At 45.6% G+C, this 27,384-nt stretch overlaps 2 pseudogenes across 1 annotated transcript in view; both read left to right on the top strand.

Annotated features, from left to right (window-relative positions):
* PPIP5K1P1 (diphosphoinositol pentakisphosphate kinase 1 pseudogene 1) lies at window positions 787–27,227 on the top strand (annotated as a pseudogene).
* PPIP5K1P1-CATSPER2 (PPIP5K1P1-CATSPER2 readthrough) overlaps window positions 841–27,384 on the top strand; it is a 59,470-nt pseudogene continuing 32,926 nt past the window's right edge. Inside the window, exons 1-28 of the transcript NR_146339.1 lie at window positions 841–868; window positions 6,145–6,238; window positions 6,416–6,679; window positions 7,438–7,633; window positions 8,085–8,175; window positions 8,388–8,473; window positions 8,788–8,942; window positions 9,083–9,184; window positions 9,649–9,810; window positions 9,914–10,035; window positions 12,181–12,282; window positions 13,151–13,237; window positions 13,356–13,431; window positions 13,576–13,685; window positions 13,772–13,854; window positions 14,068–14,199; window positions 14,359–14,480; window positions 14,754–14,936; window positions 16,944–17,085; window positions 17,275–17,498; window positions 17,823–17,950; window positions 18,159–18,273; window positions 18,431–18,538; window positions 19,467–19,583; window positions 19,731–19,895; window positions 22,754–22,844; window positions 26,329–26,454; window positions 27,156–27,218. The product of NR_146339.1 is annotated as a PPIP5K1P1-CATSPER2 readthrough (transcript). The remainder of the gene's footprint in view (window positions 869–6,144; window positions 6,239–6,415; window positions 6,680–7,437; window positions 7,634–8,084; window positions 8,176–8,387; window positions 8,474–8,787; window positions 8,943–9,082; window positions 9,185–9,648; window positions 9,811–9,913; window positions 10,036–12,180; window positions 12,283–13,150; window positions 13,238–13,355; window positions 13,432–13,575; window positions 13,686–13,771; window positions 13,855–14,067; window positions 14,200–14,358; window positions 14,481–14,753; window positions 14,937–16,943; window positions 17,086–17,274; window positions 17,499–17,822; window positions 17,951–18,158; window positions 18,274–18,430; window positions 18,539–19,466; window positions 19,584–19,730; window positions 19,896–22,753; window positions 22,845–26,328; window positions 26,455–27,155; window positions 27,219–27,384) is intronic.

The following is a 27,384-nucleotide window of genomic DNA, read 5'->3' as shown; positions in this document are numbered from 1 at the left end:
ACTCGGCTAATTTCTGTATATTCAGTAGAGACGGGGTTTCACCATGTTGGCCAGGATGATCTCGACCTCCTGACCTAGTGATCCGCCTAACTTGGCCTCCGAAAGTGCTGGGATTACAGGCGTGAGCCACCGAGCCCAGCCCTAGGTTTTTAATCCTATTTTTATGGATGAGAAAAATAAAGGCTCAGAGAAATTAAGTGAGTCGCTCAAGGCTGCACAGCTATTAGAGGTAAGGCCAGGATTCAAATCCAGCTTTGTCTGGAGCATAGAGAAAAAGCAGGCTGTGGAGATAGGAATCAATTTGTCTAGAGTTCCAGGTCCATCCACTTTCTTGCCTCCTCTGTAAATGTCTCTCTGTTCCTTCCCTTAACTTTCTTATCTGCTTCTCTCCTTGTCTCTTTTTTGTCTCCAGTCTCCCTATCAGTCCTCTTTACATCTGTTAAAATTTTCAACCTTTATTTATTGGATCTGTACATATATGAGACCCTGTTTTGTCTCATAAGACAAAGGGAAGACCTGGTTTTTGCTCTGAAGGAACAGCAATGGCACAAACTCTGCCTCTTCCTCTTTCTCAGCATGAGGCTTCCCACCCACCCCGTCGTCTCATGAAACGTCTCTGTCTAGACCACGCTTCTGGACTTTGGCGACACACTAAGAAATCAAAGGAAGGGAGCATCAAGTTGCATTCCCTCCCAGAGCCACTAGGGGTCACGCTCCTCCGCGCAGAAGCGCCGGCCAACGCAGCCTGACTCTGTTACCGGTGCGCGCCCTTCGCTGATTGGTGGAACCGCAAAGAAGTCGCGCTTTGATTGGGCCGCTGTCAGGTGTCGCTGCCTGCAGGTTCGGCTGCGCGAGCGGAGGGAGGCGGGTGAGTGAAGGCCGGGGGCGGTGGGGGAGTGGCTGGGGCTGGGGGCGGTATCGGACCGGGTGGGCGCGGTAGAGTGGGCTTGGTGGGTTCCCAGGGCTGGGGTTCGTTCCGGGTGGGCTCCGCTTTGGGAAGAGGCCCAGCGGAGGGGCCTTAGTGTCAGCGTAGGGAGAGTGAGGCGGCGAAGGCGGGGGCGGGCAAAGGCTAGTGGAGTCGGGATGCGAGGGCGGTATTCGTGACCCGGAGCTGTGCGAGGAGAGTACCGAGGAGGGGGTCGGCGGGAGAGGAGATAGGTATGTGGGGGTCTGCGTGAGGAAGAGGGGGTCCTGTGGGAGGATGGAGGAGCGGAGTCGTACAGGGGAGAGGATCAAGGTGGAAGGGATCTGCGCCAGGAGGGGTGGGGCTGGAGTCCAGGAGGAAGGGGGTAGCTTGAGGAATGGGTTGCGGCTGAGAGAAGACAGCCTGGAGGGAGGGGTGATGTGAGGAAAGAATGGATGGCAGGTCGTCATTGTGGGGGGTCACTGAGGGGTCAATATAAAGATGTTACCAAGTATGATGACTCGTGCGAGAGGGTGAAGGAGTTTAATACTGGGCAATCAGTGAGTGCGAGGATTAGTTGGATTAATGGAATTAGTTGACCAATGATGCGGGGTGGGATGGGGAGGCTGCAGTCAGTATTGGGGCAAGAGTCATAGCAAGTTGGGGAAAGAAGGCGAAACGAAGCAGCTGATACTGAGAACAGGGAGAGGAGCACAGTTGATCAGAGTCGGAATGAGGAGTGTGTCTGAAGAATTAAAAATTGCATTAAGAAGGAAGTGAGGCGTCCACTGTTCAAGGTGGGCAGAAAATAGTGTTGGTGGCCTGAGGAGTTTTTCTGTGTTGGAAGTATTCCTGCCTGGAATTTGTATTGATATTTCCTCTTCGCTACCAATGGAGTCCACCATCAAGTGCATAGTGATTTAGGAAATTAGATGACTATGCAAGGAGCCCTAAATTCTAAGGGTTAAAGAAGTTACACCGTTTACCCTCCCTTCTACCCCTTCTCCAGATCTAACATAGATGTTCCTGAGAAGATTGCCTGCCTGCCCCTCCCTCGTTACCTTACTCGCCTATCTCCTTGCTTCTTTCCTTCCATTCACATTGATTCCTGTCAGAGTAAGACTGCCCTTTAGCCCAGTGTGGAGTGTGAAGTTTTCTTTTCTTTCACAACAAAGCTTGGGGGAGAGGCGGATGGGGAGAAGAGCATGGAAAACAGGGAAGCGGCTCTGGGAACACCACATTAAAGCCCATCTTCTCCCAGAGGTGCATCTAAATAAATCCTGGCTTATTTCATAGCTATTTCTGTCAGGCTTCTATTTTTGCTTTGTTAACTGGGAATTTAGACCTTTCGTCTCTCTTCAGCCACATATTTGTAAACAGTCTCTTCCCTATTCTATTAGTTACCATGCCCCGTTATGTAGTTGCAGTAGAATTTCAAGAACATGAGTGTACATTCAGTGGAAAACGAGGAAGGACTCAATGGAAGAAAGGGCAAAGGGTTAGGAATCTTAGAGTTGAGAGAAAGTCCCGGCTTCAGAGCGAAGATAAAGAATGCAACAAAATTCTACTTGCTCAAACTATACAGGGACCTTGGGAATGTCCCAAGTCAGGGAAATTGGGTCAGGTCACTGAAAAGGAATTCAAAAAAATAGCGTTTTTATCAGGGGTAAGAGTGTGTGTGTGAGACCTGCAGTGCACAACTAGAAATATTAAGCCTAAGGAGAATGTCGCACCCCCGTGGCAGTTGAGAAATAAAGACAGCAGATAATGAAAACTGGAAAGGTCGAGAGGTCGAGGTCTATATAAAGGTCCGCTAGAACTTTCTTTCTGTTTATTTTTTTTTTTGAGACAGGATTTTCACTCTTGTTGCCCAGGCTGGAGTGCAGTGGCGTGATCTCGGCTCACTGCAACCTCTGCCTCCTGGTTTCAAGCGATTCTCCAGCCCCAGCCTCCTGAGTAGCTGGGATTACAGGCGTGCGCCACCCCACCCGGCTAATTTTTTGTATTTTTAGTAGAGGCGGGGTTTCGCCATGTTGGCCAGGCTGTTCTTGAACTCCTGACCTCAAGTGATCTGCCTGCCTTGGCCTCCCAAAATGCTGAGATTACAGGTGTGAGCCACTGTGCCTGGTGGTCAGCTAGAACTTTCTAGTCAAAACTGCAAACCCCAGTTGTAATGAAAGAGTTTGAAATAAAGATAGAGAAAATAATTGTTCAAGACTGTTTTCAAAATCTATGAGACTAATTACATATATAAGATATTATTTCTGTAAGACAAGTTCATTTACTTAAGGAGTTTGTGGCTTTCACTAGAGTCATTGGTCAGTGTTTCTGAGAACTTTTGGAGACCACGGAAAATTGCTGATGTGTGACTCAATTTTTATTTTTGGAAAATAATAACAGATATTCATATCCTTACAATTCATAGGAACAAATGTTAACCTGTGTATTTGCTTCAGATCTTTTTTACAATTGAAATAAACATTGTAGATAAGGTTGTGGAGTACCATTTGAATCCTCAGTTCCATTCTCCCTTCTCAAAGGTAACCACTATCATGAATTTGATGTCTTTCTTTCCAGTCCCTGTTTTTATACTTCTACTAATTATATATGCAGTCATAAACCATATGTAACATTTGTATTTATACAATAGCGATGTACTGCAGGTATATTTCTGCAGTTTGTATTTGGAAACTGTCCATTTATTACATATAGCTTTTATTTTTACATTGCTATTAGTCTATCATTTCTATATATGACATTATATTTATGGATTCTACTTGTAACCTCTGAACTGTTTTCAGTTTTTCTCATTACCAACAGAGAGATGAAGAGGATTAAGAAGTTCCTCACAAAAGTCTTATGTAGGAGAATTTCTCTACAGCAGGGTTTCTCTACCTCAGCACTACTGAGATTTAAGGCTGGATAATTCTTGGTTGTGAGGAGATATCTTACGCATTTTAGAATGTTTGGCAGTATCCCTGGCTTCTACTCACTAGACGCCAATAGTACCTTTCCAATTGTGACAACCAAAAATGTCTCCTGCCAAAAGTCCCCTGTGTAGCAAAATCACAGCTGGTTGAGAACAACTACATTACTTGTGTGTACACAGAAGTGGAACTGCTGGTTCAAGTTAAAGTCTTAAGATATTCTTACTGGTACAGTTTTAGGCAGGATTTTTTTTTTTTTCACTGTAGCTCCTGGTGTGAGGGACCTTGGCCTAGACTAGCACTGGTTCTATAGTACCAGGGGACACTAGAGAGAACATTGAGATTTCAGTTTGAGAGTGGGCTGGAGACTACTGTATGGATGCCTGTATTCTCAACCTCCCAACCACACTAGACCTCTTTCCCTGAACAGGTTTTCTGAACTTGGGCATTTGTCTTCTATTATTATTATTATTATTATTATTATTATTATTATTATCATCATCATTATTTGAGGCAGGGTTTTGCTCTCACCCAGGCTGGAGTGCAGTGGCACGATCACAGCTCACTGCAGCCTTGACCTCTTGGGCTTAAACAAACCTTCCACCTCAGTCTATTGAGTAGCTGGGACCACAGGCTTGTGCCACTCACTATGCCTGGCTAATTTTTAAAAACTTTTTGGCCGGGTATGGCGGTTCACGCCTGTAATCCCAGCACTTTGGGAGGCCGAGGCAGGTGGATCATGAGGTCAGGAGTTCGAGACTAGCCTGGACCGCATGGTGAAACCCCGTCTCTACTAAAAAAAAAAAATACAAAAATTGGCCAGGCATGGTGGGGTGTGCCTGTGGTCCCAGCTACTCGGGAGGCTGAGGCAGAATTGCTTGAACCCGGGAGGTGGAGGTTGCAGTGAGCTGAGGTCATGCCACTGCTCTCCAGCCTGGGCAAGAGAGCGAGACTCCATCTCAAGAAAAGAAATTTTTTTTTTTTCCTTTTGAAACGGTATTTTTTTTTTTTTTGAGACGGAGTCTTGCTCTTTTGCCCAGGCTGGAGTGCAGTGACATGATCTCCACTCACTGCAAGCTCCGCCTCCCGGGTTCACACCATTTTCCTGCCTCAGCCTCCCCAGTAGCTAGGACTACAGGAGCCGGCCACCATGCCCGGCTAATTTTTTTTGTGTATTTTTAGTAGAGACGGGGTTTCACCGTGTTAGCCAGGATGGTCTCGATCTCCTGACCTCGTGATCACCCGCCTCGGCGTCCCAAAGTGCTGGGATTACAGGCGTGAGCCACCGTGCCTGGCCGAAACAGGGTATTTTTGTGTCGCCCAGGCTGGAGTGCAGTGGTACAATCACGGGTCATTGCGGTCCCGACCTCTTGGGCTTAAACAGTCCTCCCAGCTTAACCTCCCAAGTAGCTGGGACCACAGGCAACGTGCCACCATGCATGGCTAATTTAAGAAAAAGCTTTTGTAAAGGTCAGGTCTACCTATATTGCCCAGGCTGGTCTCAAACTCCGAGGCTCAAGCAGTCATCCTGGTTCAGCCTCCGAAAGTGCTGGGATTACACGCATGAACCACTGCACCCAGCCTTAAAATTTTTTTGTAGAGATGAGGTCTTGCTATGTTGCCCTGGCCGGTCTTAAACCCCTAAGCCCGAGCGATCCTCTTGCCTCAGCCTCCCAAAATGCTGGAATTACAGGGATGAACCATGGTATCTGGCTGTGCAACTGTCTTTTAAGGTGGAGTAGATGAAGGAGAGAGAGAGCATGGGGGTTTTATTATTTTTTAAATTTTTGGTTTGAGAGAGGGTCTCACTCTGTCACCCAGGCTGGAGTGCAATGGCGTGATCTCAGCTCACTGCAACGTCTGCATCCTGGGCTCAAATGATCCTCTTGCCTCAGCCTCCCAAGTAGTTGGGACTACAGGCATGCACCACCATGCCTGCCTAATTTTTGAATGTTTTTGTAGAAACTGGGTTTTGACATGTTGCCTGGCTGGTCTTGAACTCCTGGACTCAAGTGATCCACCCTCCTCAGCCTCCCAAAGCGCCGAGATTATAGGTGTAAGCCAGTGTGCCTGGCCTTAATGTTCTGATATAATGCTTAGAATGTAGGGTGCCCTCAATAAATATTTTTTGAGTTAATCTTTGGGAAGAATGAAGAAGAGGTTTAAGGGGAAAGGCAGCTGAGCTCTCTCATTCCTCTGCCTTTGAATTAAATTACTGAATTCAACACTACTGTGAGGAGGTGGAAAAGGGCTAGGAACATTGTGAAATGAGTCCAAAGTTTGAAATGTCACTCTAACCTTCTCTTCTGGTAGGACTCAAGAGTAGCCTTCCTCGAGGACCTGCCTTTCCCATTTGCTGCCTGAAGTTAATGTTTCTTGCTGGCCAAATCAGGGACATGCCGGCATTGTAAGGGCTGATTATCTGATCCTCTTACTAATTTATTGGTTGGGGTGGGGTGAGCAGGGAGGAAAAGGGATACCTTGCTTTTCTTTTATGGCTCTTTTAGCATCTCAAGTCATAGCCCATATGCCTCCTTTCTTGTTGATCCTTCTTCCTATAGCTTTGTTTTGTTTCCCCTTATAGTTCCCTCTTATGCTTTTCATCTCCATCCCCAGCCCCACCCACAGCCAGGGGGCTTGGGTTCTGAGCTGATGGGGTACCCCCCTCTGCAGAGCGGGATGAGTGGGTGTTCCGGCAGGGATGTGGTCATTGACGGCCAGTGAGGGCGAGAGTACCACGGCCCACTTCTTCCTTGGAGCTGGAGATGAGGGGCTGGGCACCCGTGGAATAGGCATGAGGCCAGAAGAGAGTGACAGCGAGCTCCTTGAGGATGAGGAGGATGAAGTGGTAAGAATGGGGAAAATGATGTAACTTGGGGTTGGAGCCTCTGTCCTAAAGAGTTAAGATTCTATTGGTTAGAGATACCTCTCTGTTCTTTCCGAATGCATAGACTCCCTGTCATAAACAGGCCCTATCCTAGTTTAGGGGAGGGGCAGTAGAGATTGGTAGGTTGCCTCTCTTAGAAATCCCTGCCCTGGCCGGGCGTGGGTAATCCCAGCACTTTGGAAGGCCAAGGCGGCCAGATCATTTGAGGTCAGGAATTCAAAAGCAGCCTGTCCAACATGGTGAAACCCTGTCTCTACTAAAAATACAAAAATTAGCTGGGTGTGGTGGTGGGCGCCTGTAATCCCAGCTACTCGGGAGGTCTAGGCAGGAGAATCGCTTGAGCCCGGGAGTTGGAGGTTGCAGTGAGCAGAAATCGTGCCACTGCATGCCAGCCTGGGCGACAGAGTGAGACTCTATCTCCAAAAAAAAAAAAAAAGAAACCCCTGCCCTTAGGATCTTCCTGTCGTCTCATGGTTGTTGGTTCTCTAGCTCTCCTGCTTGAGCACATATTTCCTACTGTGGAAAGGCTCCTATTCTGTAGGCAGTTGGAATCCCTAGCTGTGCCTCAACCTCGATCAAAGTTAGGAGGCACCCTTTATCCCATAGGTCCAGAGTCCTGGCAAGAAACTCTGTGCCCTAAGAAGATAAGACAGTGTTCCCAGAAGGGGGTGATATTGGTGGGAAGTTCTTGAGTTTCTGATAGCACTTCCTCTCTGTAGCCTCCTGAACCTCAGATCATTGTTGGCATCTGTGCCATGACCAAGAAATCCAAGTCCAAGCCAATGACTCAAATCCTAGAGCGACTCTGCAGATTTGACTACCTGACTGTTGTCATTCTGGGAGAAGATGTAATCCTTAATGAACCTGTGGAAAACTGGCCATCCTGCCACTGCCTCATCTCTTTCCACTCCAAAGGTTGGGGTCTATGAAGGAAAATGGGAGGGAATGGTGGTGGGAATACTGGTTCGGGAAATGAGGTTCTTATTGTCTTATTTCCTTAGTAAAGAGCCGTCAGCTACTTGTGACACACTAGAGAATGGTGCCAAGGAGTTTGCTTTCCCTACATCTTGGAGGAGTTGCCGGGGGTTTAAAGCCTATAGTCTAACCTCAGGACAACTCTAAGTGTCTTAGGATCTCTGACAGAATTGGGTCTCTGGAAGGACTGTAAAAATAACTTCTGTTTTACTTTTTCTTGATAAATATCCTAGACTTGGGGAGCTGGGAAGAAGAATAAGTGATGGGTTGAATGGGTAGAGGAGCTCAGTGGCAGCTAATAGCTTTAATATGTCTTTGTATCTCTCTTGCTCTTTTCTCGTTCTCTTTCTCTCCCTTCCTTTGGTCTCTTTATTTCCTGTCTCCATCCCAGGCTTTCCTCTGGACAAAGCTGTTGCTTACTCCAAGCTTCGAAACCCCTTTCTTATCAATGATCTGGCCATGCAGTATTACATCCAAGATAGGTATAACTTCCTGTTGACCAGTGAGATGGGTGGCTTTGGGATCATGCGTGTTCGGGGAACCCACTGTGAGAGGGGCAGAGTCAAACCAACATGCCTAATTTTTGTACCATAATTTTGTGCCCTGGTGTCTTTTAATCCTGTGCAAATGAAATCCCCAGCCTCTCCCCTTAGTTACTCCCACCTCTCCCAGCTATTTTATTTGGGGGTGACAGGAGGGAGGTGTACCGGATCCTGCAGGAAGAGGGTATTGATCTGCCTCGATATGCTGTGCTCAACCGTGATCCTGCCCGGCCTGAGGGTGAGTACCTGGCCTGAGGGAGGGTTAGTCCTGCCTTTCCTTGCTTTCTATGACTTAGCCACGTTTCCATCTTCTAGACATCTCCTGTATACCACCTATCTATGTGGGGTTTTGGTTATTGGATTATGGGTGGGGTTAGAGCCATGAGTCTTCGGACAGAGGGTTGGACCTGTTATATAGAGATTTTACCTCATCTATTACAAAGATATAGTCATAAAAATTTGAGGGTTATAGAGATGAAAACCTGGGGAAATGAGAATTAGTAATATTCCACAACCTTAGGCCATAGGAATGACTACACATCCACCTTTCAGAATGCAACCTGATAGAAGGTGAAGACCAAGTAGAGGTCAATGGAGCTGTCTTTCCCAAGCCCTTTGTGGAGAAGCCAGTGAGTGCAGAAGACCACAATGTTTACATCTACTACCCCAGCTCAGCTGGAGGAGGAAGCCAGCGTCTCTTTCGTAAGGTAGGGGGGATATTTGAGCATCTGGGGAGTCAGAGAGGTGCAAGGGCAAGGATGAGGTTGTGGGGAAGGAAGATGGAGAATTTGGGGACAGAACAGAGAGTTGAGGCAACATTGCTTTTTCTTCTTTTTTTCTCTTGAAGATTGGCAGCCGAAGCAGTGTTTACTCTCCTGAGAGCAGCGTCCGAAAGACGGGGTCGTACATCTATGAGGAGTTTATGCCAACAGATGGCACAGATGTCAAGGTTATGGTGGATATAGGGATTTAAGAGGTTACAAATGTGTGGGTGGGGATGGGGTACTTGGGAAGCAGGTGGAAGTATATGGGGAGGAGGTCCTAGAAAATAACATGATGTGAATGTGATTGGCTTTCATATTCAGGTGAAGATAATGAGTGGAGGATACAGACATTCACATTTTCACTATCAGAGCAAGGGCAAGGCTGACTTAGAAAAATGGTATAATGTTTGTAAATTATTTTTTAATAAGGACTACCTGACAGTAGTGGAGTCCCGAGGAGAAATTCATAATGATACTTCAGTAAGGCTCAGTAGGAAAAATGTTGGTCAGTCTCCTTAATGCTCAGGATTTGTTTTGTTTTTGTTGTTGTTGTTTTACTCTGAAACTCGTCTACAGACCTAGTGCTCATATTGTCTTCTCATATACAGGGTGAGCTGTGGGCATACTCAGTGATGCTATGTACCTGCAGGTGTATACAGTGGGGCCAGATTATGCCCATGCTGAAGCTAGAAAATCTCCAGCTTTGGATGGGAAGGTTGAACGAGACAGTGAGGGGAAAGAGATTCAATATCCAGTCATGCTGACTGCCATGGAAAAGCTGGTGGCCAGGAAAGTCTGCGTAGCTTTCAAGGTAGAGGAGGGCCCAGGGAGGTTGTGAAATGAGGGAGAAAGGAAGGAACAGGGGTCCGGGAAGAGTAACTGTCTTGTTCTCATCTTTCTTCTTTTCCTTGCAGCAAACAGTTTGTGGATTTGACCTTCTTCGTGCCAATGGTCATTCCTTTGTGTGTGATGTCAATGGCTTTAGTTTTGTCAAGAACTCGATGAAATACTACGATGACTGTGCCAAGATTCTGGGGTAAGAGACATAGTGGTCTGCGCTGGGGAGAATGGGCTTACAGAAGAATATTTGAAAGTTTTTGCTTTATTTTAAATATCACAAATATGATTTAAAAGTGAAAAAGCAGGCCAGGCGCGATGGCTCATGCCTATAAACTCAGCACTTTGAGAGGCTGAGGCGGGTGGGTCACCTGAGGTCAGGAGTTAGAGACCAGCCTGGTCAACATGGTGAAACCCTGTTTCTACTAAAGATACAACCTTAGCCAGGCATGGTGGAGCATGCCTGTAATCCCAGCTACTAGGGAGGCTGCGGCAGGAGAATCGCTTGAACGCAGGAGGTGAAGGTTGCAGTGAGCTGAGATAGTGCCATTGCACTCCAGCCTGGGTGACAAGAGCAAAACTGCGTCCCAATAAATAAATAAATTAATTAATTAATTAAATTAAAAAAATAAAAATAAGAAAGGAAGGGCTCCTCAGGCTCCTTGCCTTTCTAACACTGCCCCTCCCAGAGACCATTGTTGTTAACAGTTTTAGACATAACAATTTATCTTTTTCTGCCATATCCAAACTGTATTTCTTTTACTAAATGTGGTCATACTATAATACTGCTCTGCAACTTGACTTTCCAAGAAATTTGTCACGTAATGTATAAACCATTCAGAAATATATGAGGAATGATGACTATAGTGAGCATCTATGTATTCACTACCTAGCTTAAGAAATAAAATATTAGGAATATAGGTCGGGTGCGGTAGCCCTTGCCTTTCTAACACTGCCCCTCCCAGAGACCATTGTTGTTAACAGTTTTAGACATAACAATTTATCTTTTTCTGCCATATCCAAACTGTATTTCTTTTACTAAATGTGGTCATACTATAATACTGCTCTGCAACTTGACTTTCCAAGAAATTCGTCACGTAATGTATAAACCATTCAGAAATATATGAGGAATGATGACTATAGTGAGCATCTATGTATTCACCACCTAGCTTAAGAAATAAAATATTAGGAATATAGGTCGGGTGCGGTAGCTCACGCCTGTAATCCTGGCACTTTGGGAGGCCGAGGCGGGTAGATCACCTGAGGTCAGGAGTTTGAGACCAGCCTGACCAACATGGTGAAACCTCGTTTCTACTACAAATACAAAAAATTGGCCAGGCTCAGTGGCTTCCGCCTGTAATCCCAGCACTTTGGGAGGCCAGGGTGCGTGGATCACCTGAGGTCAGGACTTCGAGACCAGCCTGGCCAACATGGTGAAACCCCATCTCTACTAAAAATACAAAAAAAAAATGAGCCAGGCATATTGGTGGACGCCTGTAATCCCAGCTACTTGGGAGGCTGAGACAGGAGAATCACTTGAACCCGGGAGGAAGAGATTGCAGTGAGCCGAGATCATGCCGCTGTACTCCAGCCTGGGTGACAAGAGTGAGACTCCATCTCAAAAAAAAAAACCCAAAAAAAAAAAAAATTAGTCAGCCGTGGTGGTGGTTCCCTATAATCTCAGCTGCTTGGGAGGCTGAGGCAGTAGAATCACTTGATCCCAGGAGGTGGAGGTTGCAGTGAGCTGAGATCATGCCATTGTACTCCAGCCTGGGCAACAAGAGTGAAACTCTATCTCAAAAAAAAAAAAAAAAAAAAAAAAAAATATATATATATATATATACACACACACACACACACACACACACACGTACACATATATGTATATATGTGTATATATGTACGTATATATGTATATATACACATACATATGTGCATCTATATACACATATGTGCATCTATATACACATATGTGTGTATCTATATGCGCATACATGTGTGTATATACACAAACTGTACACATACGTGTGTGTATGTACACATACGTGTATGTGTGTGTGTGTGTGTGTGTGTGTGTGTGTATATAATCGAAGCCCCTATGTACTCCTCCCTAGTAACATCCCCTCCCCATCCCCAGAGGGAACCACAATCCATAATTTGGTGTTTGTCATTCCTTGTATTTATTTATATTTGTACTACATAAATATGGGTATTTGTTTGTATGTTTTTAGACTTTATATTAAGGTATTCTTCTGCCTGCAGCCTGCTTGTTTTTGTGAGCTTCATTCCTCTGAGTAGTTCTGGTTTATTCATTTTTACAGGGCTTCTTTGTTTCTCTTTCTAGGAACACCATAATGCGGGAGCTTGCCCCACAGTTCCAGATTCCATGGTCCATCCCCACGGAGGCTGAGGACATTCCCATTGTTCCCACCACATCTGGCACTATGTAAGCAAAAGCAAAAAATCTGGAGTAACCTACTTAAGACCCATGGGATTCCTTAAGCCAGGCTAATGGTTACTTCCTGACCCCACACTATCTGACTAACGGAGCCTAGGCCTCTTATACACAGTCTTCTTAACTCCACTTATATTCCCCCGCCGTTTTTTTTGTTTTGTTGTGTTTGTTTTTGAGACAGAGTCTAGCTCTGTTGCCCAGGCTGGAGTGCAGTGGCATGATCTCGGCCCACAGCAACCTCCACCTCCTGGGTTCAGGTGAGCACATCTGGCTAATTTTTGTGTTTTTAGTAGAGATGGGGTTTCACCATGTGACCAGGCTGATCTTGAACTCCTGACGTCAAGTGATCCACCCGCCTCGGCCTTCCAACGAGCTGGGATTACAGGCATGAGCCACCATGCCCAGCCTCCATTTATATTCCTAATCTCAGTTCCCTTTTCTTTTTCTTTCTTTCTTTTTTTTTTTTTTTTTTTTTTTTTTGCGACAGGATCTGGCTCTGTCTCCCAGGCTGGAGTGCAGTGGTGCACTCATGGTTCACTGCAGCCTCTATCTCCTGGGCTCAAGTGATGCTCCCACCTCAGCCTCCCAAATAGCTGGGACCACAGGCGTGTGGCACCATGCCTGGATAATTTTTTTTCTTTTAACTTTTTTTATAGAGACAGACTCACCCTATGTTGCTCATGCTCACCCTATGTTTCTCCTGGGCCTGAGTGATCCTCCCACCTCAGCCTCCCAAAGTGCTGAGATCACAGGCCTGAGCCCTGCTCAGCCCCTCTGTTTTTTTGACATGTCAAGTAATGTGATGACAGCAGGTGGGATGGGGGTGTGGGAGAGGCTCTGATAACATTTATGATCTTAGGATGGAACTTCGTTGTGTCATTGCAATTATTCGTCATGGGGATCGTACTCCCAAGCAGAAGATGAAGATGGAAGTGAAACACCCAAGGTCAGAAGAGTGTCCTAATTTACATAAATAGGTTTTTGTGAGGAAGACTGCATGGGGGGCAAGTCCTGGAGGCTTTGACTGTCTCATGCCACACTGAAGCTTCTCGTTACTTCTTCAGGTTTTTTGCTCTGTTTGAAAAACATGGTGGCTACAAGACAGGGAAATTAAAACTCAAGCGACCTGAGCAGCTCCAGGTAAGGTAGTGAATCTGACCAGGAGGAACAGTGCCATGAGAGAGATAGAGGATATGGCATTGGGAGTCTTGATAAAAGACTAGGATGGAAAGGTAACTGTCTAGGACTTGGCCTTCTGCATGGATACCTTATTATTTCCTCTAGGAGGTGCTGGATATCACAAGGCTGTTGTTGGCTGAACTGGAGAAAGAACCAGGTGGTGAGATCGAGGAGAAGACTGGAAAACTAGAGCAGCTGAAGTCTGTACTGGAGATGTGAGAAAGGGGATAGCAAAAGGGAGCCAATAACAGTGAGAATTGGGGTGCTGGAACAGAACATAAACTGTGACTTTATCCTGCAGGTATGGTCACTTCTCAGGTATAAACCGGAAGGTACAATTGACTTACTACCCTCATGGAGTAAAAGCTTCTAATGAGGGGCAAGGTAAGATGTAGTCCCCCTTACCACTACCTCTCAGATCTTGTGTTCTTTTTATGTTTTTTGTCCATCTTCTTTCCCCACAAGATCTCTTTTTCTTGAGCCTATAGATGACCTTTACCCCAAATTACATCTCTGGTCTCCTCAGAAGACCTAAGGTTTAGATGTTCCCACTATTTTTCTTAGATCTAGACCATTCACTGCCTCTTATTCCTTCAGATCCACAGAGGGAAACTCTGGCCCCATCTCTGTTGCTGGTACTGAAGTGGGGTGGAGAACTGACTCCTGCTGGCCGTGTTCAGGCTGAGGAGCTGGGGCGAGCTTTTCGCTGCATGTACCCTGGAGGACAGGGTGAGTGTTTTGGGGAGTGAACGCATAGCAGGGCCAGGATAAAATGATTAGAGAGTAAGTTGGGGAAAATGAAGGGACAGAGACAGTGGGGGAATGAATATTTTTTCTTCCACGAGTATTTATAGCAGTCCATTTGTGGTCCCCCACCTTTGTCCCCAGGTGACTATGCTGGCTTCCCTGGTTGTGGGCTGCTTCGTCTCCATAGCACTTTCCGCCACGATCTCAAGATCTATGCCTCTGATGAGGGTCGTGTTCAGATGACTGCTGCTGCCTTCGCCAAGGTGCATACTACAGTTCTGTAGTCCCAGTTTCCATTAGGTAGAGAAGCAGAGAGTTTGGAGAACCAGTTGGAGCATTTCAGGGTGCTTGTAGGCCAACTCAGAGAAGTTTCTGCATGTATCGGACCCATTCTGTACTACCGAGAATGAGCTGAGAATAATTAGTGAGGGTAGGCCCCATCTCTTCAACCAGCTCCCGTTCGATCCCTGGGACCATCTAGGCCTAGGGATGCTAACCTGCAAGGGAAACAAATAGACCTTGTGCTTTCTCTTTAGGGCCTTCTGGCTCTAGAAGGGGAGCTGACACCCATTTTGGTGCAAATGGTGAAGAGTGCCAACATGAATGGGCTACTGGACAGCGATGGGGATTCCTTGAGCAGCTGCCAGCACCGGGTGAAGGCTCGGCTGCACCATATTCTACAGCAGGATGCGCCCTTTGGCCCTGAGGACTACGATCAGGTCAGGCTCAAAAATAGCCTGGATCCCCAATTCCTAGAATTCTAAATAGTAGGGATCAATAATAACAGTATTTACTGCATGCCAGGCACTGTTTTAGTTATTTTACACATATATTATTTAATCCTTACAGCAACCCTTTGAGATAAGTACAGGTCCACAATCTCTTATGCATAATTTTGAAAATTAAAAAGATTTTTTTCTTGACATTGAGATTCATTTGGCAGCTAAACCTGACACGAACTGTCATAAGACTTTTATAATCCTTAGTTTTCCCACTTAGTGTAAATAGTCGTGCATTTTGTGGCAGAAATATTAATGTGTTTGGTTATGCCATGGGCCCTGATGGAGGTATTATATACATATGGCATATGTACTGTATTAACTTCTAAAGTCCCACAGATTCTCAGTTCCAAAGCACAGCTCTGATCCCAAGGATCCTGAACAAAAGAACGTTTCAGTTATCCATTGTTGCATAATAAACTACCCCAAAACGTAGTAACCTAAAACAGCAACCATTTTATTATCTCTCACAGTTCTGGGCTCATCTGATCTTGCTTGGAGTCTCTCCTGAAATTGCAGTCAGATATTGACTGGAGCTGGAACCATCTGGAAGTTCAGCTGGGACTGTGGGATGGCTGGCTCTCTCCCTCTTCATGCTCTCCCTGTAACCTCAGTGCCTCTTTTCTCCACATGGTTCTTCATATGGTTTCCGTAGCATGATAGCCAGATGTATTAAATGGTAGCTTTAGGGATATTCAAAAGCAGAAGCTTAGAAGCTTTCTTAAAGTGTAGGCCCAGAAATAGCACAACATAACTTTGTTATTTTTTATTGGTTAAACAGTTACAGGGCCAGCCAGATTTAAGGGAAGGGAAGGAAAGGAAGACAAAGAATTGATGGTCATCTTTAAAGCACTACAAGGACTGTAGACCACAAGGACTTTCCTCCCATTTTACAGATGAGGAAACCTAGGCTCAGAAGAATCTAAGCAATTTTCCTCATGTCATCCAGCTAATACAAACCGAAGGGGTCTAACTCCAACGCCCAGGCTGTTACATTGCTTTATAGTATTAATCCCACTATATGCCATTACCCAATATGGTCGTTCTTTTTCCTGCATATCTAGGCCACAAATGACCAGGCAGTGGTTTTCTACTCTTCCCACTCCTCATTTCTGATATGTTCTTTTAAAAAAATGTTTAAAACTTTAAAATTGTGGTACCATTTTAACCATTTTTAAGTTTACAGTTCAGTAGCATTACATGTATTTACATTGTTGTGTAACATTTCTGATTGGTTCTTAAATGAGTTAAGTAGCTAAGCACATTGCTGTGAGCCCATAGGATTTTCTGTGTTCTCTGAGTAGGACTTGATAAGGAACAGGACCTTGCTCCTTTATTTCCCAATCCATTGCTCACTGTCAAACTCAAAAAAGCTAAGGCAGCTTTCCTTTCTGCCTTGCCTTCTTTTGCGAGCAAGAATGAAACTTGTGAGGACCTAAACAGAATTGTGCATTTTCAGCCACAGTCTTGATTCTGCCTCCACATTTCTCATTGACTGTTACTGTCCTACAAGCCTGAGTCAGAACCCAGTTTTGAGGCAGCATTTCTACTCTAGGCTCAGGCTAGCATCTTGTTTAGAGGAAGAAGATAATGTTATCTGTGATCTCTACTCATGAAAACATTCTGTGGAGATTTTGAGGGATTTTGGTTCAATCTTTATTCTCCAGTATTTTCCATGTGTATTCTAGAGCCCTCAAGAAAAGAACTTAGGTCTGTTTTATTTTCTCTGGACTCTTAAAATCAATCCCTCTTAGACGACTATATGCTAGAGCAGTGCCCTTACCTGAAGGCCTAGAACTGCTAGTATGCCCAGTAACCTAAGAATGCTCACTGGAGTGAACCAACATACAGAGCTGTATTGTGAGTAGTCTCTGTGTAATAAACTCACAGGAATCTGGGCAATTAGTGCCGAGCCTGTCTTGCTTTTCTTCTCTCTATTCTTCATAGCTGGCTCCCACCAGAAGTACTTCCCTGCTCAACTCCATGACTATCATCCAGAATCCTGTGAAGGTCTGTGATCAGGTATTTGCCCTGATCGAAAACCTCACCCACCAGATCCGGGAACGAATGCAGGACCCCAGGTCTGTAGGTGGGTATGAATACTACTATCTTCCCTTCAAGGTCTCAGGTATGGATGGGTTTCTCAGGCATTCTGGTGTCCTCTCCTAAATGTCAGAGACCAGGCCTCCTCCTCCCTCTGGCTGTACTTCAGAGTTGTCAGGGTCTTTTGTTGGAGGTAAAATCTTTGATTCTTATCTGATTCCTGCCTTTCTTCCAGACCTGCAGCTCTACCACAGTGAGACACTAGAGCTAATGCTACAGCGTTGGAGCAAGCTGGAGCGTGACTTTCGACAGAAGAGTGGGCGCTATGATATCAGTAAGATCCCTGACATCTATGACTGTGTCAAGTATGATGTGCAGCACAATGGGAGTCTGGGACTTCAAGGCACAGCAGAGTTGCTCCGTCTCTCTAAGGCACTGGCTGATGTGGTCATTCCCCAGGTGTGTCTTGTATAAGGGACCTAGCCTGGGGATGAGGGTGTTGGGAAGGAAAGAGAGAAAAGGTGGAAAGGAAGGGTGATTTGAGACTAGAGGAAAGCAACTCAGAGAAGGAATAGGTTGAGTTGCTACATTTCTCAGGGTCCACTCTGGCTCTTGGTAAGTACAGGAGGCTAATTCAGGAGACACCTGGAAGAGGGGGAATGTAGTGGATATGAAAGAAGCCCTAGACGTGAGGTGAAGACAGGCATGATCTTGGTCCTGGGAATATGAGGCATGAGAAAACAAGATTTATTGAGGTATTTATTCCTGGCCTGTGGCCCCTAGGAGTACGGGATCAGTCGGGAGGAGAAACTGGAAATTGCTGTGGGCTTCTGTCTTCCACTGTTGCGGAAGATACTACTTGACCTGCAGAGAACCCACGAGGATGAGTCTGTCAACAAGCTGCATCCCCTGTGAGGGAGGGCTGGGAGGGGTGTTGGATGGAGGGAGGGGCATGTCAGGGAGCCTTGGGGGAATCAAAGCTGGGACAGCCTGGGGAACCAAGAATAGACAAGATTTTGGGATGGAAAGGAGAGAAGTCTTTGAGGTGGGAGGAGGGAGTTTGCAGAAGGGTGGGAACAGGGTTAACTGACTGTGTGAGTGATTTAGCTGTTATCTCAGGTACTCCCGAGGCGTGCTCTCCCCAGGTCGCCACGTTCGAACGCGTCTCTATTTCACCAGTGAGAGCCATGTCCACTCCCTGCTCAGTGTCTTCCGTTATGGAGGACTTCTTGATGTAAGGATCCTCCTTCTTCTTTAGCCTGTGAACAGCTTTTTCCCAGCATTCTTTTACTCTTCTCAAATGAAAGCTTTCTCCATTCTCATTGGCTCCCTGCTCATTCTCTGACTCCCATTTCCTTAAGCAATGGCTTACCTCTTTTTGCATTTGGTAGGAGACCCAGGATGCACAATGGCAGCGAGCTTTGGATTATCTTAGTGCCATCTCAGAGCTTAACTACATGACCCAGATTGTCATCATGCTTTATGAGGACAACACACAGGTGAGGAGCTAGCAGGTGGGAGATGAGAGGAAGGCCCCTTCTTTTGAATTCTATTAAAAAAAAAAAACTTGCTTATCCTTATAATTTGGAGAATCCAGCTAGGTGTGGCACTTACGCACAGCATGACACAGAGCATCCAGGAAGTTCCTACTGGAATGGAAAATATGTTCTGGGATGTTGTTGAGCCAGAGAGGTAACCTAGAACACAGCTCTGGCATTAGAAGAGTATGGAATTTGGGACAATGTTATGAGTCTTATTTCCTCAAACATGGTTATACATATACCTTCTGCATACGGCTCCACAATGATACTTTTTTTTTTTTTTTTTTTTTTTTGAGACAAGGTCTCACTCTGTCACCCGCGCTGGAGTGCAGTGCTACAATCTGAGCTCACTGCAGCCTTGCAACCTCTGCCTCCTGGGCTCAAGTGATCCTCTCACATCAGCCTCCCAAGTAGCTGGGATGACAGACATGTGCCACCATGCCCGGCTAATTTTTTGTAGAGATAGGGTCTCAACATGTTGCCCAGGGTGGTGTCAAACTCCTGGACTCAAGTGATCTGCCTGTCCCAGCCTCCCAAGGTGCTAGGATTACAGGTGTGAGCCACTGCTCCTGGCCCACAAGGTATCTTTAAATGTTCTGCTATATGCACCACAGCCAAGCTGAGTTATTGTGGAAGGTGATGGGAAGCGTTGTAAAGCTGGAAGTTCAGAAGTCATGTGCAATGGTGAAATCACAAATGGTAGAGATGAGGGAATGAGGATCCTGTAAGAGACAATATATAGTTGAAAGGAAGCTATAACAGGTCAGCCCCGGAGTGGGACAAGACCCTGAATTCCTGGGAGGATGAATCCCCTTGAGTTCCTCTCTACTTCCACCACAATATCCAGCTTCTCCCAACTTCCCCCTCTTGTGGTTATGCTCCATAGGATCCCTTATCAGAGGAACGGTTCCATGTGGAGCTACACTTCAGCCCCGGAGTGAAAGGTGTTGAGGAAGAAGGCAGTGCCCCGGCTGGCTGTGGATTCCGTCCAGCCTCTTCTGAGGTGGGTCAGAGTGCTGGGATTTGGGACTGAAGGACTTAGGAACCAAGTGGTGGGAAGCAGTACAGGGAGAAGTAAAAGGGCTAGGTAGTCTGGGATTAGGATTTTGGAGGCCATTAACACCTCTCTTATCTGCCTTTTGTTGTATAGAATGAGGAGATGAAAACCAACCAAGGCAGTATGGAGAACCTGTGTCCAGGAAAGGCATCAGATGAACCAGACCGGGCATTGCAGACTTCACCCCAGCCTCCTGAGGGCCCTGGCCTTCCGAGGAGATCACCCCTCATTCGTAACCGAAAAGCTGGTTCCATGGAGGTAATGAGAGGGCCTTGGGAAGAAATGAAGGGGTGGCAGTGCTCATAGGACTATATCCACAGATCCACTAGATCCCCTTGGGGGGTCTCTTGGGACTTGAAGCAGAGTCCTCCTGCTCTGATTGATATGTTTTACTTAATCTCTCTTTCACAGCTGGTCTCCCAGTAGTGCTTCTTTAACTGGTTGCTACTTCTCAGATTAAAGAGTTGCCATTGAGGGATGCCTGAGAGATAAGGGTTTAAAGAGATAAGATTAAGGAGGAGGCCTCTGGATGAATTTGAAAAGGTAGTTCTTTAAAAGGAAATCTAGTGGAAACAGCTTGAACTCCGGGCCAAAATCCCAGTGTAATACTTGGAAGCTGTGTGACTTTGGCTGGGTAACTTCTCTACATTTCTCTGACCTTAACTTCTCTAAGCCTCAATTTTTTTTCACCTCTAAAATGTGAGTAGTATCCACTTTATAGATGCTCAACAAGCAGTAATATATTAACAATGCAATTGATATTAAAGGTCCAGCCCTCTCCAGCTCTTGGTCACCTTGGGTAAAAATTATAGCTCAGATAGGAGCAAATACCTGGCACTTTATCTGTACTGTCATTCCAGAAAGTGGGTCAGTCAAGAGCTCTGTCTGTCTTCCTCTTGTTCTAATGAGGATCTTTATCAGCATGGGCCTATATTCTGCTGTTCTTGGAGGTTGTTTCTAGTTCTGGTTCTAGCTCTCTAGCCTAAAGGCAGTAAGTGTTATTAATCTCATATTGTGTCCAGCTAACCATCTGAGGTTTTTGTTTTGGTCTTTTTCCTGGAAAAACTGTTTCTGTCTTTGGCCTAATTATATCCTTTTTTTTTTTCCCCTATCTTGCTCTTTCTGTATCACTTACATTCATTTTGACACCACAATTTATCCCTGTCTCAGAGACTTTGACTGTCTGATTTAGATTCTGCTCTGTCCTAATGACCGTGTTCACCCTGGCTCGGTGCCAGGTCTCTATCTTAGAGGAATTGGTTTTTCCATTTTAGGGATATATCAGAAGAATCTATAACAAGCTGACCTAGGTTCAGCAAAAGTTTTGCAATTCAGATTTTGGAGAAAGCTGAGAAGATGAACTGCAGTCTCTTCTTTTGATTCATCCTTTACTTCCTGATTATTTTAAGGTGAAATTGCCATTGGTAATATGCAGAGTTTCTTTAGGTAGGATATACATTATTTTCTCTTTGAGGTGTAGGTGTCGGTTGGTATCCGTAGTACTCTATTACCCTTTATACTCACATCCAATAGATCACATGGATAGAATGATACATAATCTTCCATCAATAAACTGATCCTCCAAATGTCTTTCCTATTCACATGGTCTGCTAGTCTCTCCTGGTGCTGTTGTGCCTGAACCGCGTCCCCCATCCCCCAACCATTTTTTTCTGGTTTATGCAGTCATAAGACATAGACAGCTGCGTGTGGTGGATCACACCTGTAATCCCAACACTTTGGGAAGCCTAAGTGGGAGAATCATTTGAGGCCAGGAGTTCAAAACCAGCCTGGGCAACATGGCAAGATCCTGTCTCTACAAAAAATTTTAAAACATTATAAGATGGAAAAAAAAAAAAGGCACAGGTAAAGGAAAGCTCTGTGTATCATCTCTCAGACTTGATAAGATTGACTTCTTTCAGGCCTATGGGAAGCTTCCTATTGTAATCACAGGCTTTCTTTTCAATTACTAGTGCTGCTTAGACCCTGGCTTATCCAGGGTGATGGTTGTCCAGGATATTTTCCTCAGCTTTGCAAGAAAATCATCTCTCTGCTCCTTGGTCACAAAGCCTTATGATACTAATGTTAATGTTTATCTTCCTTGCTCTATAAATATAGGCATACAACTTATCCTTCCCTCCATCCCTTCTTCTCCTCTTGTCATCTCATACTTTTTAACTATTTTAGATTATAAAACTTACGACCTTTATAGCAGCTATGCCCTAGCTGGTCATCCTCTCTAGCCCTGTAACTAGCTCTGCCCTGTGGGCCCTGGGGCTTTTGGGAGCCTGGGGTTTAAAGGAGCCGTGACCGGCTTTCCACCCGGTCTGATTGCAGGTCATGAACATGCAGTGCACGGGGAACCTGGACCTCATCCCCTTGCGGGGACGGCGCTGCAGGAGGTCGGGAGACCTCCCCCAGCCTTCCCTAGCCATTGGCCTACAGCCCCGGGCTGTGTCCACCACTCACCTGGCATCCTGCACACAGGTGTCCCTCCCTACCTCACCTTCCTGTCTTGCCTTCTGTCTTTGCCTTTTGGGATCTAGGGGCTCAGACACTATCTGGGTGGGATGTGTGTGTTTTGGGGGTTGTGTGATTGGGCCCTTGTGGGCATTGTAAAAATTCTGTTTCATGTTTCTAGGGGTGAGACAGTGGAGGGGTGGGCTTCTTGGTTCTAACAAGGAATGTAGTATGGTTGCAGTAGCCACAGCTCTCCCATGCAAAGAAGAGAGGGTGGCCAGACTCTTATCTGTGGCTGAGCCATTGTGATTGGCTTTCTGAGTCTGTGGGGGGATAGATACAATTAGGAAACTCTGCTCTGCTGAGAACTAGGAATGGGTTGAATAATGATTTCTCAAACTCAGATTGGGAATGGGAGGGCTGTGGGGAAAGGCATCTTGAAAATAGAAGTGCCTTCTAGTATAGAAAGATGCCCCGGACAGTTCCCTCCATAAAGTACATTCTCTGTTCCCTTTTCATCCCTCTTCCCCTATAAATCCTTTGGTACTTCCAAACTTTCTAACATTGCTTGGCTTTGTAGGGACAGGAATCCAGGACCTGAGTTTTATACTTTGGGGTTGAGGTGGCAAAATGATTAATATAGAGTCCTTTTTCTGCAGGTACTTTCTGAGACTTCATCCTCGAGGCCTGGTGGCTACCGGCTCTTTTCATCTTCACGGCCACCCACAGAAATGAAGCAGAGTGGCCTAGGTATGGTTTTGCCAGCATTTCTCACCTATTGTTGGAAAAGTTGTCTGTCTGTTCTTCAGAGTTTTATTGTGGGAAACCTTTGTCATGGGATTTGGGACCGTCCAATCAGTGGAATATCATCAGGTGGAGGTAGGGAGGATGAAGTGGGAGAAGCCATAGTTAGATGTGAACTTGGATCTCAGATGATTATTCCATCCCAGGAAGGTGTTTATCTCTTGGTTTTCTATACCAACCACATTTCCCTGGCCAAAGGGCGTTTTTCTGGCTTTCCCTCTCATTCCTTATCTGTCCCTCCAGTCTAGCCCAGACCTTAAGGGGCCATGGAGACTCTGAACCTTCAGAGTTATCAAAGACAGAGCTATAAATAGAGGTACTTGCAACCCTCATAAATGTCGTATTCCTCATTTGAAGAAATGTGCCACGTCTTCCCCTGAAACCTGTGTTTTTCACATCCCCGCTCTTGCCCTTCTTACCACCTTGCCCTTTCCTCCATCATCTCCTAATCCTGTAACTTTTTCCCCTTCCTTCTGGAAAATTGACCAGTCTGAGACTGGTGTAGTGGCAGAGGCATCTCTCAGGACTTTGAGGAAATGTCTCTTGATTTTTGGATCCCTGGAAAGGGGTAGAGAACATCACTCAGCTTTTTCTAAGAGCACAGACGGCAGGAAGGACCAAGCCTCAGAGGGTATTGTATTCTTTGGGTGGGGGGCAGTCCTTGGGAGGAACTATCTCTGAGCACAGTGCCTTGTGAGCCAGTAATTAGAACTGGAGGTCAGACATGGTTGTGTGGGGTCTGGTCTTGGTCCTCTGGCTGTTTCTGTCTTGTCCTATTATTCTCTCTATTTAGCGCCTCTAATTGTTCTGTTGCCTTTGTCCTTGGCAGCCATTTTCTTGGCCCCAAAATGGTCAGCTTTTGGACTAGCAAGGGGGAGAAAGGTTTTGGTAACTTTCCAGGCTAATTTTATGAGAATAAGTTGCCTTCTAGATTCCTGAAATGAGGAAGATGGTATGGGGCATGAGAAATAAATGACAAGTGTGTAGATCTGGCCAGGCGCAGTGGCTCATGCCTATAATCCCAGCATTTTGGGAGGCCAAAGAAGGCAGATCACTTGAGGTCAGGAGTTCTGAGACTAGCCTGGCCAACATAGTGAAACCCCATCTCTACTAAAAATACAAAAATTAGCTGAGCATGGTGACGCATGCCTGTAATCCCAGCTACTTGGGAGGTTGAGACACGAGAATTGCTTGAACCCAGAAGATGGAGGTTGCAGTGAGCTGAGACTGTGCCACTGTACTCCAACCTGGGTGACAGAGTGACACTCTGTCTCAAAAAAAAAAAAAAAAAAAAAAAAAAAAAAACCCGAAACAACAATAGTGTAGATCTAAGAAATGAACCTCTCTTCCCAGAAGTCCCAGTAAAGAATAGGTTTCAGACAGACTAGAAAAGAGGATAGGTGTGTCTGTCCCAGTTAAGTGGGCCGTGGGAATGCTTTCAAGAGCAAGGCAGAGGTATGGACATGGAACTGGTTGGCAGATGGTGGTGGTAAGGTAGAGACCACCCTCTGAGATGATCTGAGGACTGGGCAGAACAGAGTTGGCATGACTGCACCAGAAAAGTATTCAGTGGAGGAAGTGTATGTAGGACAAAGCTTGGGGTGGTCTGGGATAGAGCCAGCTAGTTTTAGCTTCTCTGAAGAAAAGCAGTCATATTTAGCAACTGTTATTACTCTCTGGAATCTCATTCCAGAGCCTGTTTGAACATGAAAGGTGGAGGAAGTTGCTGTATAGGGGAGAGGTCCTGAATTCCAGGGTGGGAATCATCAGGCATCTGAACTTCCTGATTGCTCTGGTGACCCCGAAATCCTGGGACCCCTGAAACCATGGTCCCTTCTTGGTGGCCTCAAGGGAATTGAACTCCTTTCCACTCCATCCATTTCCCCTATGAATGTTAAGTCCCAAGCCAAACCCAGGGTCTTGGCTAAGATGGATTTGGAAGTAGAGAGGCAAATCCTGAGAACTTGGGTATCAGTCTTGTTTCTTCTTGACCACTCTGTCCTTATAGGCTATAGTAGGAGAAGGGACCGTGGAGTCCTAACCCTCCTCTAGATCAGCTGTTGGGGACAGTGACTGGTCTGATTTATTTCATACTTCAGAGATTATTCAGATTTTATTTAATCCTCTCATTGGCAATGGAATTCTCTTTGTTTTCTTAGAATTTATATGTGTGGGCAACTGGCTTTGAGCATAGGCTTACATGATAATACACTTTTGCAAGCAGAACAAACATGTCTTTTTGTTGTTATTTCCTGTATTCCTTCTTAGTAGGGTGCTCCTCACATAATAGGCATGCTCTACATATAATCAACTGATTCTTCACATGCCCTTCAATTTGTGTCCATCTTGACTTTAGAAACTGCTGGTTCCTAAAAAAAAATAGTTATTTATTTTCTAACAATACAGTTGGTCCTCAGAGTCAGGAGACCTGGATTCTAGTCCAGCTTAGCTTCTAAAAAACTATGTGACCTTGAGCAAAGGAGGTCCCTTTTGGATCTCAGTTTCTTCATCTCTAAAATAAGAAAGTTGGACTGGATGATCTATGAGTCCCTTCTAGCTTAAAAAATTCAATGAGGCAGGGGGCTGTGGCTCACACCAATAATCCCAGCACTATGGGAGGCCAAGGTGGGAGGATCACTTGAGCTCAGGAGTTAGAGACCAACCTGGGCAACATAGTGAGACCTCATTTCTACTAAAAATAAAAAAATTGTCCAGGCATGATGGTGTGTACTTGCAATCCCAGCTACTTGGGAAGCTAAGATGGGAGGATCACTTGAGCTTGGGAGACCAAGGCTGCAGTGAGCTATGATTGTGCCACTGCACTGCAGCCTGGGCAACAGAGTGAGACCCTGTCTTAAAAAAAAAAAAAATTGTGAGCCTCATACTTTCATTCTTGGGAAAGGTCAAAAGGCCTGAAGGGAGGGGATGTTGGATGAAAAACTTAGGAAGGATTGGAAGGGTGCCAGCTGAGTGTTCAGAATATAGTCTCTAGCTTCAGTCAAAGCCTTTTCCTTTCAAATATACAAGGACTAGATTTCTGGGTTTCTCAAGCTATATATCCAGGGTAAGGGGTGCCGAATTAAATCTGAGGGGAATCTAGAGGGACCTACCTGTTATTTTGGCATTTCTGAGAGCCACCTGAAGAGCACAGTCTATCCCTTCCAGTAGCTTTGAATCCCCTAATATGACTAACCCTGCATTTGTAGTGGCCTGTTGTTTCTGCCATGTAGCTCTTCAGAAGAATCCCCCTTTTGCTTGCCCACTGTGACTATGGAGAAGTGTAAAGCCATTTGTGGTTATGTGGAATGGCCACATGGTGGTGGCTCTGAATGGCTGCATGTGTGTCTTGATGTTATCATGTGAAGTTGTGTATAGTTCTGTGTGATAGTTGTGGCTTTACGTGGCTACTAACGCACTCCCGGCCTTGCAGGCTCACAGTGCACAGGGCTGTTCAGCACCACAGTGCTGGGTGGCTCCTCCAGTGCCCCGAATCTTCAGGACTACGCCCGCAGCCATGGCAAAAAGCTACCACCTGCCAGTCTGAAGCACCGAGATGGTATGTGGGTGGGTTTTGGGGGATAACTCCTTTTTTCACTTGTCTCTCAGCAAGGACATAGCTCAAGAACTATTCATGCTTAAGATGACACTGGCCTTATAACAAGTTTTCTTCATCAGTAATAGATGGGAGAAGGAACCAGGACCCCTTTCACCCCTCCATTTGCATTTCCTCTTGCCATAAAAATACTACTTATTTATGCTTATCCCTTCATAATCTCCCACATACAGTCCTGCTGCATCAGTTTGTACTCTTTCCTGGATTCTGGCCTGTAGGGGTAAGGACCAAGGAGGATGATGCATAGTTGGGAAGAAAGTGGTGGAACCTCGATTAAAATCCAGCAAATTGGGTTTAGGGAAGGGAATGTTACTCAACCAAGGGAGAAAAGATAATGTGGAAAGAGACTAGGGGAAGGGATGAATATTTCTGTGAAGATTTTATTTCCAAATGACCAGAAAGAAGACACAGTGGTAAAATTAGGGTTGTTTGTAGGGGTGTATTGTGGTAGAGATGACACATTGATTCCTAAGAGATTTATCAAAGGAAAAGAGATTGACGTGTGTTAGTTAGAAATCCAAGGGATGGGGAGGGGAGCAGGTCAGATAACTAACTTTAAAGAACAGAATATCTTGCGGGCAAACTCCAGAGCAGAGGGTGGGGACAAGGGTGGGTATAATCCCCATGATGTCTTTTCTCCCCAGAGCTCTTGTTTGTCCCGGCCGTAAAACGATTTTCTGTGTCGTTTGCAAAGCATCCGACTAACGGTACGTTTGCTTCTGACTCAATGTCATTCCTCCTCACCATGTCACCTCTAGACACTTAACTCTGAGTTTCGACACTGACTTTGCCTCTCCTTCCACTGTGTTGACACCCTGCTGTCTCTGAATGAGTCACTCACTAAGTGTCCCTCCTGGGATGGTTTCCTTGTGA

The sequence above is a fragment of the Homo sapiens genome, chromosome 15, assembly GCF_000001405.40.
Source record: "Homo sapiens chromosome 15, GRCh38.p14 Primary Assembly".
Classification (NCBI taxonomy): Eukaryota; Metazoa; Chordata; class Mammalia; order Primates; family Hominidae; genus Homo; species Homo sapiens.
The sequence above is the reverse complement of the archived record's forward strand: the minus strand, read 5'-3'. Positions and strand labels throughout refer to the sequence as shown.